The sequence below is a fragment of the Homo sapiens genome, chromosome 7 (genome assembly GCF_000001405.40).
Source record: "Homo sapiens chromosome 7, GRCh38.p14 Primary Assembly".
Taxonomy (NCBI): domain Eukaryota; kingdom Metazoa; phylum Chordata; class Mammalia; order Primates; family Hominidae; genus Homo; species Homo sapiens.
Window position 1 is genome coordinate 153,194,839 of NC_000007.14, and position 19,311 is coordinate 153,214,149.

A 19,311-nucleotide genomic window follows, 5' to 3' on the forward strand; every position below is an offset into this window, starting at 1 on the left:
TCTGTGGATTATATCAATTTCAGCTTCCTGGTTTTGGTATTCTAGGGTAGTTAGGCAAGATGTTACCCTTGGGGGAAACTGGGCGAAGGGTACATAGGATTCCCCTATATGTTTCTTGGAACAGCCCACGAATCTTTTCTTCAGTTGTATATATTCAAGTCATACAATGTGATGTTTTGATATATATACATATACACACACACACATAGTGAAATGATTATTACCCTCAAGCCAATTAACATATTTATTATTTCACATAGTTAATTTGTGTTTCTGTGTGGTAAGAACACCTAAAAGCTACTCTCTTAGCTTTTCAGTCTACAATATTATTAACTACCATCCTCATGCTGTGCATTAGATGTTTAGACTTATTCATTGAATATAACTCAACTTTGTACCGTTTGACCTGTGAATCTTTTTTCAAAATAGAAAGTTAAAAAAATAGTGTACTCTAAAGTACAATTGAGACAAAAATGGAAATAAGTAATGTTTACCAAAAAAATTATGGGACAGTGGAAAGAACACTGGTGTAGACCTAAAAGGCTGGATTCAGGTCTTGTTTTGTCCTTGCTAGCGTGGCAATCCTGGGTCAATGCACTCAAGACTCATGAGTTTTGATTGCCTATTGATACTGTGGGAATTATAAGAACTTATCTGCTTATTTCAAAAGGCTATTGTAAAGATTCAATGAGATATTATATATAAAACACCTTTCATAGTGCCTAGAACATAGTAAGTGCTCAATAAATGTTAGTTGTTTTAATAGTATACTTTATAATAATTATATTAAGTATGTGCAAATAGAATGGAAAGTACTGATTGTCTTTGCAGAGAAGCTGGCTGTGTTTTCAGGTTTTATAGTTGACAGACTGTTTGGAAGACCCCTACGCAAGTGTAATTGTGTTCCTAGAGTCTATTGGCAATGGTATTTGTGTGTCTGTATGTGTGTATACTGCTAAATACAGGAAAAATAATTACTAGTTAGAACTTTACCATATCAGTAGTTAGACCAAAGGCAATTTGCATCTTCCTGTTTCTGATGTCTGTTTTCTGCAGGGAACCCAGCAACATCAGGGATTCTTCCAGGTCACTAAGTGACCATTTTAATAGAACTTATTTGCTTTACCCACAGGCTATCAGTGAACAAATTTCCAGAAAATTCTTAGTTGAGCCATAGCATTTAATAACTTTATCATATAATTTGTGATTGTCTTGATAATAATGTTTGAACAAGTAGATGGATATGTTGATGGTGTGGTTTCCACTGCGTATCAAACATTAACTGGCTACTGTGTTATTGGCCTGTTGTTAAAGAGTTTCTGAAAAATAGCTAGTCAGGTCCCTAACGTTGGTTCTCTTTGTCTTTCATGGGAGATACAGAAATGACTTACATTTTGCAGATCCAAACTCAGTTTTCATTAGTTCTACCTTTCTAGTTATTCAGACAGATAGTGGGTCAGTGGTTGGATGGATATTTCTTTGACGTTTAATTTTCCTGCTTCATTGACTTACCTGATCTAGTTGTAGCATAGTTTCTCTTACATTTCTTATTTAAACCCGCATTCTCATTTTGAATTTGTCTTTGGAGTTCTAGACTTATGCAGGGTCTCAGAATTATAGAAGCTTCCATGTATTTGTAGAACAGCCTTCCATTCTAAGGAAGGGCAGAGGGAAGGAAGATCTGCCTTGTTACTGCGTCTTCACTGACCAAGGATGCGGACGTGGACACAAAGTCTGCTCCATTATGTGTGGACCCCTATTCCCAGTATTCTTTGTGGAAAGCACTGGACTTGGGATGCTTGATTACTACAATCCCTCTCCCCTACTCATAGATGTCTGTAACTACCTGTAGTTGTGAAATTCTCTATTTCCACACCTGTGGCATGGTGGCCATCCCAATTCTTTCTTGGTATTTTTGAATCCAACCTCCTCTGAGACACAAAGCTATTACACTTCCCCCCCCCGCTCACTGGAAACATTTGCTGGTTGTAAAAGATTTTGAAAATCATAGATTCCAAACAAAGACAATTGATTTGCTCTTTATTTTCTAGAATTCCCTCCAATTCTCTACTGTTCCTTTTTACATCTCCATGCTCATTTGCATCAAAATTTTTACTTTCACTGCTTGACCCTGATTCCCACCCTAATACTTTGCAGAAGTGTGTGCACATATCTGTGGAGCAGATTGTGCAATGGGTGGGATTTGTGGGCTATTTACCCAGTGAGACAACAAAGCTCCATTCAGACAGAGAGCTCTACCCACGAATTATTCACATAATGTGAAGAATAAATGGGGCTGTTAAAGTTGATGCTATTAGCATGTTAACTCACTTTAAAACCATTTTATTCACGATTAAGTAACAATTGGATGCCGCATTATCAAGGGATCTCTAAATTGCTGTGTATGTTGGCTGGTTCTTCAATTGGCTAATTTCTGAGGGTAGGGCAGGAAGGCAGGAGATGGTGAGGTTTAGCTTCTGAAAGTTGTTAACAGAGTCGTTTTTAACATTGTATAACTACATTTATAAAAAGTAACTTTTAAAAGATTATTGGGCCTTATGAACTGATTCCCTTGACTAAATAATTCAACTAGTCTTAATTAAATATTCTAACTGAGGTTTTTTTAAAATTTAGTTTTTAGTGTACCAGATTGCAAAGTTAATAAGCATTTTTTAAAAACACAGCTGATATCTCTTATCTGTCAGATAGCTTTTTAAGTTATACTAGAAGTAGAGACTTCCTAACTTAAATTGATATTGGACTTGGATTAACTGTTTCTATTCTGTATCAACTCAAGAAATTTGAGACACATTCTGAGTCCAGATCTGCATCACCAATATTAATATCCCAAGACATAAAAATATGTTGTTAAAATAAGAATATCAAAGAATGATGCTTGTCTTGAATACTCAGCAGAAATTAATGTGTAGGATGCATGCAACCCCTTTCTCTTTTGCTATCCTTACCCTGCGTAGACCAGATGCTTTATAATATAGGAGGTTTTTTAATCCTATGGCATATTTTTGAGGTTGTTGTATCCATTCCTGTGTGACAGATGGGGAAGCTGAGGCCAAGAACATTGAAATAACCTTCTGGAGATCACTGATCATATTGAGTTTCTCAGCACGTAGTCCCTGGAATACGTGTGTCAGAATCACTTGTTGTACTGAAATGCAGATTAGGGGCCTCACCTAGAACTTCTAAATGTTTGAAGTTGGAGCACATACATTTTATTTTTTTAAACTGGCCCCCTAGGTTATTTGTGTAAACCCCAAAGTTAGATGATTGTGTCTTACAGCATTGCTACTTCTTGACACACTTGACTTGGCTTATGCACAAGGACTGCATTGCGTAAGTGAATCAGTCTAGAAATGGAGACAGTGGAAGCAATATTTTCTATTTGAAGAATTCGGCCTGAAAGTATTTTGATAATTTTTGTCTTTAGTCATCTACTTTTGCAGTTGGAGCTACTTATGTGCCCCTGTGAAGTTCTACTTACTTTTGACTCTAATGATAGCTGTTTTGGATATCTGGGCCTGATTCTATTACATTCATGTTTTTGAGAGGGAATTTACTACCATGTATTAGTTCAAACCCACGGAAGCAGAAACCACTCTATATCTTTGAACAGAGGGAATTCAATATAGGGAACTGTGTCCATCGATGACAAAAGACTGGAAAAGTCAAGTAGGACACTAAGGCAATAGATGGATTAGGAACAGCAGGAAAACATTGCCTTGTCTGTGAGTGAAGGAACAATTGAAGGAGGTAGTGTGACCATAATAGAGGATCTGGAGCCTTTTGTCAGGTTCTGCAAGATCTAGGGAGAAGATTTTGGTGAGAGCTATTGATGGAGAAGTTGGAAATCGGCCTGAGGCAGTGGAGGGACATAGTAAATCCTGGCTCCCTTCCTCCTTTTCCTTCCTCCTCAGTCTTCCACATGCACCTCTCATTGGCCAAAATCACCAGAAAGCCAGTTGGCATGGGAGCCTGGAAAATGGAATGTCCTGAACACACAGCAAATAGGGGAAGTGGAGGTAATGGATGTGAGAGCAAGGAGGCAAGTGATCAATGAATGCTTCCCTGGGGGAAGGACTGTCTGGTCTGATTGGCCACTAGTTCACTCTCTACCCATGCGAGGAAGAGTAACTAGTTTGTTAAGTATGGCTAAACTGGTTTCATCTGGTACCTGTTGAACTCTGGTTAGCAGGAGCAGGGCCCTTTGCTCCCCACCTCTCTTGCCTCTTAAGTCTTTTCATGCCTGTGTAGCAAGTGAGCATGCAAGCTCTGAGTTCATATGCCCAGGCGGGGCACCCTCATGATCTCATGCAGCGGGGGACAGGCAGCCCTGGACTTCTAGCTTCAGAGAGGGAGGTGACAGGTCCAGTCATATACTCTGTGGTAGCAAGATAACGTCCATGTCCTTACTCTTGGAACCTGTGGATATATTAGGTTGCATGGAAAAGGGGAATTAAGGATACAGATGGAATTGAGTTGTTTATTAGCTGATTTTAAAATAGAGATTATCCTGTAATTGTCAAGCCACAGATAGAAGAATGAGACGATCCTCATCTCTCAGCTTATACAAAAATCAAGTTTAGATGGATCAAGGACTTAAATCTAAGACCTGAAACCATAAAAGCTCTAGGAGATAACATCAGAAAAACCCTTCTAGACACTGGCTTAGGCAAAGACTTCATGACCAAGAACCCAAAAGCAAATGCAATAAAAACAAAGATAAATTGATGGGACTTAATTAAACTAAAAAGCTTCTATGTAGCAAAAGAAACAATCAGCAGAATAAACAGACAACCCACAGAGTGGGAGAAAGCCTTCACAATCTATACATCCAACAAAGGACTAATATCCAGAATCTAGAAGGAACTCAAACAAATTAGCAAGAAAAAAACAAACAATTCGATCAAAAAGTGGGCTAAGGACATGAATAGACAATTCTCAGAAGAAGATACACAAATGGCCAACAAACATATGAAAAAATGCTCAACATCACTAATTATCAGGGAAATGCAAATCAAAACCACAATGTGATACCACCTCACTCCCCTGCAGGAATGGCCATAATAAAAAAATAATAGATGTTGGCATGGATGCGGTGAAAAGAGAACACTTCTACACTGCCAGTGGGAATGTAAACTAGTACAACCACTATGAAAAACAGTGTGGAGATTCCTTAAAGAACTAAAAGTAGATCTACCATTTGATCCAGCAACCCCATTCCTGGGTATCTACCCAGAGGAAAATGAGTAATTATATGAAAAAGATTCTTGCACACACATGTTTATAGCAGTACAACTTGCAATTGCAAAAATATGATACCAGCCCAAATATGCATCAATCAATGAGTGAATAAAGAAATTGTGGTTTATATATATATATATATACCATGGAATACTACTCAGCCATAAAAAGGATGAAATAACGGCATTCACAGTGACCTGGATGGAATTGGAGACCATTATTCCAAGGGAAGAAACTCAGGAATGGAAAACCAAACATCATATGTTCTCACTCATAAGTGGGAGCTAAGCTATGAGGATGCAAAGGCATAAGAATGATACAATGGACTTTGAAGACTCGGGGAGAAAGATGGGAGGGGGTGAGGGATAAAAGACTACACATTGGGTACAGTGCATACTGCTCAGGTGATGGTGCACCAAAATCTCAGAAATCACCACTAAAGAACTTATTCATGTAACCAAACACCACCTGTTCCCCAAAAACCTATGGAAATAAAAAATAAAAAATAAAGAATAAAGAATAAATGATGCCCCTACTACTAATGACAACAATAAGTAAATAAATAAACACATACATACATACATTCATACATAAAACAGATAAAATAGAGATGATCCTGGATTACCTGGGTGGACCCAGTGTAATTACAAGAGTCCTTAAAAGTGGATGACAGCCAGGTGTGGTGGCTCACGCCTGTAATCCCAGCATTTTGGGAGGCTGAGGCGGGCAGATCACCTGAGGTTGGGAGTTCAAGACCAGCCTGACCAACTAAAGCTGGTCTTTTAGTAGAGACCAGCCCGTCTCTACTAAAAATACAAAATTAGCTGGGTGTGGTGGCGCATGCCTGTAATTCCAGCTACTCGGGAGGCTGAGGCAGGAGAATCGATTGAACCTGGGAGGTGGAGGTTGCAGTGAGCCGAGATCATGCCACTGCACTCCAGCCTGGGCAACAAGAGCAAAACTCCATCTCAAAAAAAAAAAAAAAAAAAAAAAAATGGACAAGGGAGGGAGAATGAGCCAGAGGGAGCTGTCACTACAGAATTAAATATGCTATCAAGATTGCTGTCCACATCAAAGGGGAAAGGAACCCCACTTGATCCATCTGGCATAACTGGCTTCTTAGAGGAAGCAACTAGACCTCTTATACCAATCATACACAAAATAAATTTCAAACATACTAAAGATAAAAATATAAGTGACTTAAAACAAGAAATTTGAGGATAATAGTTTGGTAATGTGGGCTGAGGAGGAGTATCTGCTTGAGTAAGACAGAAACATAGAAAGAAAAAGACTCACAGTCCTAGCCACATAAAAATTTAAAATCTCTGTATGTGTAAAGACACCAGAAAAGAAAATTAACATAGGAGCAAAAATCTGAAAGAAAGCGCGGGCAACACAGATAACAAAGGGTGGATTTCCCTCCATGTATAGATGAGAAGGCAACAACTGGGTAGAAAAGGGATACAGGCAATTAACTGTCAGGCAAGTTATAGACAAATGCACACAGTCGTCCAATGTGGAAAGCTGTTGATTTTGGCCTGTAAGCCTCTTTTTTCTTTAAACTCACCTGAGGTTTGCAATTTTTATTTTGATTTCTTCTTTTGTCCAAAAGATTTGAGTATTTTATATTTTCTATATGCTTAGATTTATTTTGACTATCCTATTCTTCACTCTTCTAGTTTCGTTGAGTAATGCTCAAAAAGCATGTTCTGTGTGATTTCTACTTTAGGAAGAATATATGAAGATTATGTTTATTAACTAATAAAATTCTTATTTAATATCCTGTTAGTCCTTTAAAATGCTTATTCTGGTTTTGGGTGTAAAATTTTATAGTTAGTCAATATTATACCAAATTTGTTAGTCTTGTTAATCAAATTCTAAAATCTCATTTTAAAAATTGAATTTATTTTTGAGAAATGTGTTTCTGCTTTTCCAGTTTCTCCTTGAATTTATGTATCTTTTGCTGTAGATATTTTGGTGGTTTGTTATATGCCTGAAGATTTGTGACTGTTGTATTTTCTTTGTGAATTATCTCTTTAATCAATATGAAATTCTTTCTGCTATTTAAGAATGTTTGCTTTGAAATCATATTAGTATTGCTACACGTGTTTCCTTTGTTAGCATTTTCTCCGTGTATCTCATCTATTACTTTATTTATTTTTTTCTTGTGCCATCTGATTTTGGATAAGTCTGTTGTAAACAGCATGCACTTACACTCTCACAATATGCCTTTTAATAGGAAATTTAACCTATTAAGATAACTGATATATCTCAATGATCATCTTTTTAGGTCTCTCTTTAAATTTTCAAGGAAAACCACTTGTCAATGGAAATAAGGTATAAAACTAAATTACTACAGGAAAAAAAGAGAAAAGTTTCTACCAACCAAAGAAGGCTAGAGAGAGGCAATCACCTACACAGAAGGCAGCTTATGCACAAAATCTCCAGCTACCTCCTCATGGCCTTCTGCACGCTCTCCATTCTCCCCAGTCATTCTGTAAAGATTTTTATGACTCCTTTTGAATTTTAGTTATTGATGATTTTTCCTTTTATTAACCTTAATTAGAAGTCAATTCTTCAATATTGCATTAAAGGTAATGATGATATTCACTTAACTGAAAATTTGCTGGCTCTGCCTAAAAAGTAAAAGGCACCAGACATAGCCATGAAATTGCTTGCTGTGCTATTGCTGTGGGGTTGCAGGATTTATACTGCCATCATAGTGGACTTCTATATTTCTCAGTTTTCTGGGAGATGGAAGCAAATTGTCTTGGTGATGAAGAAGTTTTTTGGAATTTGTAAAATTTTTGAAATTAGTTCCCTGTTTGTGGCTGTTTATTCTAATAGCTGGTGATTATTCATTGCCTGTTAATGTTTCTTTACACTTTATGGCAGGTCCTGATTAATCAATGGGAGTGAAGTATCTGAGAACTCTAAGGCTCAGCATTCATTTCCTTAGGGTACCCCTCACCCTGCCAGGGAGGAGGTACCTATAAGAGGCCTTCCCCTCGAGAACAGTTAGGCAATGGTTCCTGTTGAGGATTCGAGGGTCCGTGCCTCCCGTTATCCTGCCTAGGTCTTAGCTGATGCACCTTATGTGCAGAGAAAAAGCTAGTAGAACAGAGAGAACTTTATCTAAAGCGACAAGAGTGTCCTGTAAGCCCTAAAAGGCAAGTCCTGCCTATTAAAACTGTTTTGAAGTATGTACTTTTCTGAATAATTATATTTCCATTAAGAAAAAAACTGGATTGAAGATTGGCACTTGCCTTCAAGGTAGCTGGGATCTGCCTCAAACTCAAGACTTAATCTGATGAATCCATCCTTAGAATTGATGCATCCTGAGTTGATAAATCTGTCTTTGTTACAAGCAGAGATGCTGGAAGAGAGAAGTGCTACCTTCAGATGGCCTGTGTACCTGGGCAGAAGCAGAGGGAGCAAGGAGTGAAGGTGGCAGAGGCATAGGCATCTGTCACACCTGCACAGGGGACAAGCACTTGGCCCATTCTTGCTTTTGAGACCCAGTGAAATAGGAGCCTCAGGTCCTAACCAGTTACACGATTGCATCTTCCTTCCTTGGAGAGGAAACAGAAAAGACTTAAGTAAGCTCTTGCTGGAGGGAGAGGGAAGAATGGGAATCTCACCTGAGAGGGGCAAGGAAAAAGCGCTGGAAGGGCAGAGCACTTCTCACTTCACTCACCCCTTCTGCCGCTGTTGTCCTGGCCGCTTTGTCTACATCCTCGTAGCTGCTATTGTGCTGGGGCTGGTTTGTCTGCATTCTCATTGTGGGAGTCCGTTGCCTATTCACACCCAGTTGTCCACATCCATCGTCTTTCTACTATGTGGAAGTTCCCCAAATATTATTTTTCCTGTTTGCACTCTTTTTGTTTTCTAATGACCTGTAGATTGTTCTTGTCTCTTTTGTTTCTGTGGAAATTTAGGGAGGAGGAGATATAAACATGCGGACTTTATCCACCTTCTTGAAATAAAAAGGTGACGGGTGAGGAGAGGGATTCCAGGGAGAGGTCAAGGGGAGACAAGGGACGTGAAGCCAACTGCTGAACAACACCTTGAGAACTGAGAGGCTTGGGACAAGATGAAGTAGAGCCATTCCTACCTTCAAAGATTTTATAATGTTGAGGTGGAGACAACATCAGCTCTGGAGTAATTGGAGAGACCCAGAGCATGAGTGGTGTGCAGAGGCAAGCCATGCTCTGGCACAAGGTTATGTCTCTGTTCTTCATTTCAGCCTCTACACGCCTATGGCTGCCATTCTAGAATTCCTGTATTCTCCTTTTCAGTTTAATTCTTCTCCTCTTTCAAAAGCAGGAACCCATTCATGTGCTCCGTGGAAACCCCTTCAGACCATTCTCATCAACAATGGAAATCAGTCCAGTCCATGTCTTTTGAATCAACACCTTTTGTGCGCTGAGATGCAGAGGTGAATGCTCCAGCCTGTCTTCTGAGGAGCATATGCATCTCTCCTTCTTGGGGATGGCTTCAGGGCTTACTGTTTCTACTGCTCTTTCACCCTTACAGCACCCTTTAAAGCATGTGTATCTTATGCATTCCTTGATGCTGTCACTAATTCATACTAATTAATTCCTTGGGAAATTGTCATATGCTCTTTGTATCTTAAGGAGTATTTGTGGGAGTCAGTTGCCTATTCACCATCTTTGTGTGCTCTGCCGTGGATAACAGCTACATCTCTTAGCCTCCCCTGCCCTCTGCCAATGGACACTCTAGTGTAAGACAGGAGGGTGGAATGAGGGAAGTCAGGGCTTTTTCACCTGCTTTCTATCGCAGGCAGCACCTCCTCGGTGCTTTGGCTCTTGTAGGGGCAGCCCTTTCCCTTCTCTCTGTACTCCTGACTGTGGTCAGGCAGCTCCCCTGTGCTTATCCAGCTCTTAGCCCTGGGAGACCTGCCTCATACCCAGGACTCGGAATGGCACCTGCTGTTGCTAGAATCTAGCTTGCCTCATTGTCTCTTTAGGCATCCCCATCTTCTGATACCTGCATAAGCTGTTCCCCATATTAAATTCCCTTTGTGTGAAATCCTAGCCTGGTTTCTGTTTTCTGACCAGACCCTGACTGATACAGTATTCCTCTAATCTCTCAATACTTGATTTATTGATTAAAAGAATTGTGCTGCCTCTACATGCCAGGCACTGTGCTAGATGCCACGGATTGAAAAATCAAAAGAGAAATCACTGAATAAACATCTGTTGTCTTGAAATTTGATGACTGGAAAAAAAAGTGTGTGAGAGGCATCATCCCTGCCTTGAGCCCCTGCCATGCCCTTGGGCACTGAATATTTTGTACATTTGTATGTTTTGACTGAAGATTGAAAGAGTACTCCCAAGGAAGGATATTTCAGAATATAGACAGCTGTGTTTCCACTAGTAGTTAAATGTCATGTTCCTGATTGGAAGTGAGCTCTGACTCTGTAGTGACCAAATATGGTGGTGGCAGCTGAGGAGTTAAACTTGAATTTTAGATGAGGTTGAAATTTCACATCCGACCCATTCACGGTGGCTTGCAAGGAGTGCACTGCTGCTCGGCGGGTATAGAGAACCAATTTATGCTTCACCTCTGGCACTTTGAAGAGCACAAATGTCCTAAAATTCCTTTATATTCTTGGAACAAGCATATTCACTATCATTGCCGAACATTTCTAGCAGCCTTTGCCCAAGTATTCAAAGTGGAGTGAAACCCTTGGGATAGCACTGACCCAATCAGAATGCCGAGTACCACTTATAAGCCAGCCACCATATCTTACCCACAGCAGGAGTTCTTGATGGGAACTGATTTCAGAAATTGAATTAGGAGGACCCTCGTCAGATAGTGCTTTGTGCTTGAGCTACAATTCTTTAGGTATAGCACAGTGTGGCTTCCCGCTCAAGCTCTGCACTGTCCTCATACAATTTGATGGATCGTTTAGCATTTATCAGCCTCTGAAGCTCCATGCCCAGAAGTGACATTTCCCTGGATTCAAAGTCTTTAAAAGCTTAGAGGAGTGCTAGATGAGATGGGTGGGTGATTTATTAGGCTGCTGGGCTATTTGGAGTTTCTTTGACTGTGGAGCAAATGTTGCTTAGTGCCCTGGATGATGATAAATGATGCTCTCATAGGAGCTTGATCTCAGAGAAAGTCTCTCTCAGTTTGGTGAGCTGTATAATTTCTTTGGTGTAGGGCAAAGTTCTTAATATTTCAGTTTTTGAGGGGGAGTCATGGACCCCTTAAAAATTTGTTAAAAGCTTTAGACTCTTTCACTAGAAAAATGCATTTGCACATAATTTTGGATATAGTCTCATATAGTCCCTCTTAAATCCTTAAGTCCAGGGGCTCTAGATTAATACTTATGAACATAGAATTTGAACAATAATGCATGTTAGAGAAACTGGTAGGCACCCTGTGCCTAAGAGGCTTGTCATATGATGCAGTTCCATGCCCGGCTTCTGGCCTTTTGGAGCATACATTCCACTGATACTGGAGAGGTGGCAAAGGCTGTGTATTCATGGTCACAGCAAGTCAAAGTTTGTGCTTGGGCAAAAGGCCTGAGAATTTTCTCCTCTGTGGTATAGCTAGGTGATATCTGGTGTTTTTTATTTTGTTGCAAACATTTCCCTGTGGCTTCTATTTCTGTCACTGTATAGAAACCAGTCTTGTCAAATTTATCCACAACCTCAGTCTTTCCAAACCTGACATTTTATTCTTCCTCTCACTTGGCAGCTTAGCAGCGTCTGACATGGTTCCTTCCTTGAAAATCTTCTCATTCTTAGCTTCAAACAGGGTTTCCTGCTACTTCTCTGGCCTCTTCTCCTCAGTCTCCTCTGTAGGCTTCTCCCAAACTGCCTGCATCGTAAATGCTGGGGTGTCCCAGGGCTTTGATCTGAGATCTTATTTCATCTCTGTCTTCATTTATTCTTTCAATGGTTCTATCCAGTTCTATTGCTGTGAAAATCTCCTGGATGCTGGTGCTTCCAGTCCTGACCACTAAGCTGAGTTCTGACTTATGTGTCCAACCACTTACTTGAAACCACTACTTGGGTGAATACACATCTCAAAATTCATTTGTCCAAGTAAAGTTCATGGCTGCCATTTTTCTGAAGTGGGGGAGGCTGGAAGAGAACCATTTGGGGTTCAAGTGGAGAGGTGACAGGTTACTGGCTAAACATTTACAGAACACCCTTCACTTGATATCTTTTACCTTACCTTGACCGTCTGGTTCATCTGCAAACGCAGTCAGACCTTCATCTCCAACATAGATCACCATTGCATTGGCTTTCTCCATTTTTGTTACTGTAGACCACATTGCCTTTGCTTTTCTTCTGGTGTAAGACAAAAGCTTCCTTGAAGGTCTCTCTGCTTCCTCTTTCACCCATTCCAGTCATTCTTCCACTGGCAACTACAGTGACTTTTCAAGCCTTCATTTGCCTCCTAAGACCTATCAGGGGAGTCTGATTGTCAGAATGAATAGGCTTCTTGTCATCTGTGGCCCGTCATTGACTCCCTGTCTCTTACCCTCACACTCTGCACTATGTTGTAGCTAGGCTCAATGATTTTCTTTCTATTTTTTAAACATGTGAGGCTCTTCTCCTTCTTTGGGATTATAGAGAAAATATGACACAAATTAATTAATTTTCACATTATGATGCCTTATCTGAATCAGATTTCAAGCTCCTTGAGAGCAAAGACCCAATGTAATGCTGTCTCCAACATCCCTACCTTTCCCTCTGGCCTCTTCCCTTTGTCTGTGTCTAGGACAGTGATTTGTACCATTTCATTTGACAGTTTGTTTTCTGGGCATCTACTATGTGTCAGGTTACAATTACGTGCTCGGAGCTTAGTAGATGTTAGATGTTGAGGTTGTTTCTCTCTTACTTTAGAACACATGCCATTGCAGGATGAGGATGGGAGTAAGGAGACACCCATGGTGATAAATAAGGGGAGTGTCAGTGCAGATTTTCAACTTCGGTAGAACTTCATTATTCTAATGAATTTTGAAAACTATCATGAGCTAACTTTATTGCTTTGGATCAGTAATTGACTAAATAGTGCCTTAGTTGTTTGCGAGAGTAAATATAATTTCCCAAAGTGCTAAATTCACTCCTAGGCTGTAGCTGAGAGACTCACACTTAATGGAAAATAATGATATCCCTAACTAGAGTAGACAACAGGCAAGGTAAACCCTTGCTTATCTTCCTTTCCTCTGATAAACATCTTCTACTAAGAATTTTGTCTGAAACACAGCAGAACAGTAAATCAAAGCACGTTAAAGAGGGAAATATTACTCTTTCAGCAAAAGACTACCTTCAGACGTAAACACAACAACTACAAAATGTTAGGTGTAAGGCCATGTCTGTTCAGGTGTTATACTTGGATGTGGAGAATGTACCTTATATCTTTGCTTCAAGGCTTTGTCTTAAAACAAATACATTTAAAGCAAGTCTTGCTAGGTCATCACCAAAAGCTTCCTTGCTAATGCAAGTGGAATTAGCTACCAGGTATAAACATTGCATAGAAGCTTAGCTCTCGGAGTTTAGTAAGCAAGCTTAAGCATTTCCCGTAAATTTTAAGCTGTTAGTTATAAAAGAGCAGAGCAGCTTGGCATCTTAGGTGGAATGAGGATATTCCATTCTGGTTAAAAATCATAAGGGGCTTATGGAAATGAGTGGCGTGGTGTTAGTTATCTTGAAAAATGTAAGTATATATTTTCATTTTCTGCTCAAATAAAATTGGAATCAGAGAAGAGGAAACTTAGGCAAACCCGAGGGATTTTTTTCTTCTTTTCTGTCAGAAGAGTGAAGTCTGCGGTGTAAGCCTGTATCCAGGACCTTTTATTCCCCACAATTTTTTTTTATTGTGGTAAAATATCACATAACATAAAGTTTATTATCTTAGCCATTTTAAATTTACAGTTCATTGGCATTAAATACATTTATAATGTTGCACAACCATCACCACCATCTGTCTCCACGTCTCTTTTCATCTCACAGAACTGAAACTCTGTACCCGCCAAACAGTAGCTCCCCATTCCCTTCTACCCCAGCCCCTGGTAACCACCATTCTACTTTGTCTCTGATTCTAATGTAAATATCTCATGTAAGTGGAATCATAAAGCATTTGTCTTTTTGTGATTGGATTATTGCACGTAGCATAATGTCTTCAAGTTTCATCCGTGTAGTACATGTGGCAGGCTTTTCTTTCTTTGTAGGGCTAACAATCCATTCTCTGGGTAGACCGCATTTTGCTTATCCATTCATCTGTTAATGGACACTGGGGTTACTTCCACATTTAGATATTGGGAGTAATACAGCTATAAACAAGGTTGTACACGTATCTTTTGGAGATGCTGTTTTCCATTCTTTTAAGTATATACCCAGAAGTGTAATTGCTGGATCACATAGTAATTATATTTTTAATTTTTTCGGGAAACAACGTACTGTTTTCTACAGTGGCTGCAACAGTTTACATTCCCATCAACCATGCAAAAGGGTTCCAATTTCCCCACATCCTTGCCAATACTTGTTATTTTCTGTTTTTATTTTATTTTATGGAAGCCATCCTAATGGGTGTGAAGTAGTATCTCATTGTAGTTTTGATTTACATTTCCCTAATAATTAGTGATGATGAACATTTTATCATGTGCTTATTGGCCATTTTATATATTCTATGGAGAAATGTCTATTTAAGTCCTTTGCCCATTTTTGAATTGAATTGTTGTTTATTGTTGTTGAGTTTTAGGAGTTCTTTATATATTCTGGATATTAATCTCGTAATAAATATATTATTTGCAAATATTTTCTCCCATTCTGTGGGTTGCCTTTTTACTTTGTTGATATTGCATTTAGATGCACAAAATTTGTAATTTTCATGAAGTCCAATTTGTCTATTTTTTATTTCGTTGCCTGTATTTTTAGTGTCATAATCAAGAAATCATTGCCAAGTGCAATGTCATGAAGCTTTTGTCCTATGTTTTCTTCTATGAGTTTTATACTTTTAGGTCTTACATTTAAGTCTTCGATCCATTCTGACTTTGTATATGGTGTTAGGTAAAGAGCCAACTTTATTCTTTTGCATGTGGATATTTAGTTTTCCAAGCACTATATGTTGAAAAAATCATCTTTTCCCCATTATATGGTCTTGGCACCCTTGTTGAAAGTCATTTGATCATATTATATGAGTATGTATTTCTGGGCTTTCTATTCTATTCCAGTGGTCAATATGTCTGTCTTTATGCCAGTATCACACTGTTTTGATTACTGTAACTCTGTAGTAAGTTTTGAGATCAGAAAGTGTGAATCTTACAACTTTGTTTTCTTTGCAAGATTGTTGTGGTTACTTAGGGTTCCTTGAGATTCCATATTAATTTTAGAATAGATTTTTCTACCTCTGCAAACAATCATTGTGGTTTTGATAGGAACAGCATAAATCTGTAAGTTGCTTTCAATAGTTTTGTCATCTTAACAGTATTGTCTTCCAATCCATGAACATGGGGTATGTTTCCATGTGTTTGTGTCCTCTTTAGTTTCTCTATATTAGCAATGTTTTACTGTGTTCATTATACAAGTCTTTCACCTCCTTGGTCAAATTAATTTCTAATTATTTTATTCTTTTAGATGTTATTTTAAATGGAATTGTTTTTGTAAATTCCCATTCATATTGTTAATTGTTAGTGAATATAAATGCAACTGATTTTTATGTGTTGACTCTGTACCTTGCTTCTTTGCTAAACCTATTAATTCTAACAGTTTTTTTTGGGCGGGGTGGGGAGCGGGAATCTTTAGAGTTTCCAATATGTAAGATCATACCGTCTCTGAATAGAGATCATTTTACTTCTTCCTTCTCAATTTAAATACATTTTATATATTTTTCATGTCTAATTTCTCTGGCTAGAATATCCAGTATGATGTTGAATAGAAATGATGCAAGTGAGCATCTTTGCCTTGTCCCTGATCTTGGAGGAAAAGCTTTCAGTCTTTCCTCCATTGAGTATACACTGTTTGCTGTGGGTTTCTCATATGTGGCTTTTTATTATGTTGAGGTAATTTCCTTCTATTTCTGGTTTCTTGAGTGTAATTTTGTCAAGTGCTTTTTCTGCATCTCTTAAGATAATCACTTGGCTTTTCCCCTTCATTCTATTAATGGATTGTGTTACACTGACCAATTTTTGTATGTTGCACCATACTTGCAACTTAGGAATAAATCCTACTTTGTCATAGTGTATGATTCTTTTAATATGCTGTTGAATTTGATTTGCTAGTAGTTGCTTGAGAATTTTTACATCAATGTGCATAAGAGATATAGTTTTCTTTTCAATGGTATCTTTGTTTGGCTTTGATTTCAGGGTAATGCTGGCCTAACAGAATGAGTGAGGAAGTGTTCCTTCCTCTTCAATTTTTTGGAAAAGTTTGAGAAAAATTGGTGTTAGTTCTTTAAATGTTTGGTAAAATTCACCAGTTAAGCCATTAGTTCCAGGGTGTTTCTTTTTTAGGAGATTTTTGATTACTGAATCAATCTCTTTATTAGTTATAGGTCTATTCAGATTTTCCGTTTCTTTGCAATTTAGTCTTGGTAGGTCTTGTTATTCTAGAAATTTGTCCAAATTAGGTTATTCAATTTTTGTTGTACTATTGTACATAGTACTCTCTTATAATTCTTTTTATTTCTGTAGAACCAGTAGCAATGTCCCTGCTTTCATTTCTGATTTTAATAATTTGAGTATTCTCTCTTTTTAAATTTGAATTCATCTAGCTAAAAGTTTCTCAATTTTGTTGATCTTTTCAAAGAACCAGCTTTGGTTTTATTGGTTTTCTCTATTGTTTTTGTATTCTCTATTTCACTTACCTCTGTTCTAATCTTTATTATTACCTTCCTTCTGCTAGGTTTGGGTTTAGTTTGTTGTTCTTTTTCTGGTTTCTAAAGTTGTCAAGTTAGGTTGTTAATTTGAAATCTTTTTTTTTAATGTAAGTGTTTATAGCTATAAAATTTCTTCTTAGTAGTGCTTTCATTGCATTCCATAAATTTTGGTATGCTGTGTTTTTGTTTTCATTTATGTCTAAGTATTATTTTCTAGTTTCCCTTGTAATATCTTCTTTGAGCTATTGGTTGTTTAAGAGTGTGTTATTTAATTTCCACAAATTTGTGAGTGTTTAGTTTTATTCCTGTTATTTATTTTTAACTTCATCTGTTGTGGTTGGAGAAGATATGTTGCATGAAATCTATCTTTTAAAATCTACAGGGCTTAATTGGTGGGCCAGCATATGGCATATCCTGGAAAATGTCCCATGCGCACTTACGAGGAATGTGTATGTTGTCACTATTGGGCAGAGTGTTCTGTATATGTGTGTTATATTTAGTTGGTTTATTGTATTGTTTAAGTCCTCTCTTTCCTTATTTATCCTCTGTATGTTGTTCTATCCATTACTGGGGGGGGAGCATTGAAGTCTTCAACTATTATTATAGAACTATTTTGCCTTCAATTATGTCAGTTTTGTTTTGTCTGTTTTAATAGTCTGTAATTAAGTGTTTAAATATTTATAATTGTTATAATTTCTTGTTTTTTTGAGATAGGGTCTCACTCTGTTGCCCAGGCTGGAGTGCAGTGGCACGATCATAGCTCACTGCAGTCTCTACTTCAAGGCTCAAACAATCCTCCCTTCTCAGTCTCCCAAATAGCTGTGACTACTGGCACACACTACCACACCTGGATTTTTTTTAAAACTTTTGGTAGAGATGGGGCCTCACTATGTTGTCCAGAGTGGTCTGGAACTTCTGAGCGCAAGTGATTCTCTCATGTTGGCCCCCCAAAGTGCTGAGATTACAGGCTTGAGCCACCATGCCTGGCCTATAATTATAACTTCTTACTCTATTGACATTTTTATTAATATATGTCTTTCCTTGTCTTTTGTAAATTTTTAAAAATCTGCAACTTTTTGGGCAATCATATGATGCCCAAAGGAAATGCTCATTGGAGCATTTTAGATTCTGAACTTTTGAATTTGGGATGCTGAATCAGTAACTGTAATGCAAATATTTTAAAATAAAAAATCTAAAATTTAAAACGCTTCTGGTCCCAAGTATTTTAGATAAGAGACATTGAACCTTTATAGCCATCCCTGCTCTCTTTTGGTGAGTATTTGCATGAGTTCTTCAACCTTTTTCCATCCCTTCACTTTCACCCTATTTGTGTCTTTGGATCTAAAGTGAGCCTCCTGTAGTCCTCATATAATTAGATCATGTATTTTTATGCATTCTGCTACTCTTTGTCTTTTAATTGGACAACGATAAGAAAGGACTTACTTTTGTCATTTTACTACCTGTTTTCCATACATCTTATGGCTTTTTTGTTTCTCATTTCTTACATCACTGTCTTTTTTTGTGTTTGTTTGATTTTTTTGGTATTGAAATGTTTTATCATTTCGTTTTGTGTATGTTCTATAGCTATTTTCTTTACGGATATCATAGGGATTACATTTAACATCCTAAGGTTGTAATACTCTAATTTAAATTTATATTAGTTTAGGCCGGGCGCAGTGGCTCACACCTGTAATCCCAGCACTTTGGGAGGCTGAGGGGGCGGATCACAAGTTCAGAAGATCGAGACCATCCTGGCTAACATGGTGAAACCCCATCTCTACTAAAAATACAAAAAATTAGTCGGGTGTAGTGGCAGACGCTTATAGTCTCCCAGCTACTTGGGAGGCTGAGGCAGGAGAATGGCGTGAACCCAGGAGGCGGAGTTTGCAGTGAGCTGAGATCGTGCCACTGCACTCCAGCCTGGGCGACAGAGCAAGACTCCATCTCAAAAAAAAGATAATAATAAATTTATATTAGTTTAACTTTAACAACATACAAATATTCTGCTTTTTTACAGCTCCATCCCCACTCCTTTTAGTTGTTGATGTCACAAAATTATATCCTTTTATAAGCATACCTAATTTTTTTGTCTTTATTGACCTTCTTTATTGCCCTTTGTCTTGAATTTTTTACAAATTGATGGTTTGCAGGAACCCTGTGTTGAGGAAGTCTATTGGCATGATTTGTTTTCAA

General features: G+C 38.2%; 1 long non-coding RNA gene across 1 annotated transcript in view, besides 1 other annotated feature; it reads left to right on the forward strand.

Annotated features, from left to right (window-relative positions):
- The window catches only part of LOC102723686 (uncharacterized), a 121,255-nt gene that overhangs the window by 13,096 nt on the left and 88,848 nt on the right, over nt 1-19,311 (forward strand). The gene's annotated exons all lie outside the window — the stretch shown is intronic.
- Nucleotides 8,367-9,566: an enhancer, noted in NCBI's record as "BRD4-independent group 4 enhancer chr7:152900290-152901489 (GRCh37/hg19 assembly coordinates)". NCBI's record gives its function as "activates an origin of replication core promoter dependent on BRD2, P300/CBP, MED14 and CDK7 cofactors, and independent of BRD4, by STARR-seq in HCT116 cells {active_cell/tissue: HCT116}" and the evidence as "EXISTENCE:reporter gene assay evidence [ECO:0000049][PMID:35650434]".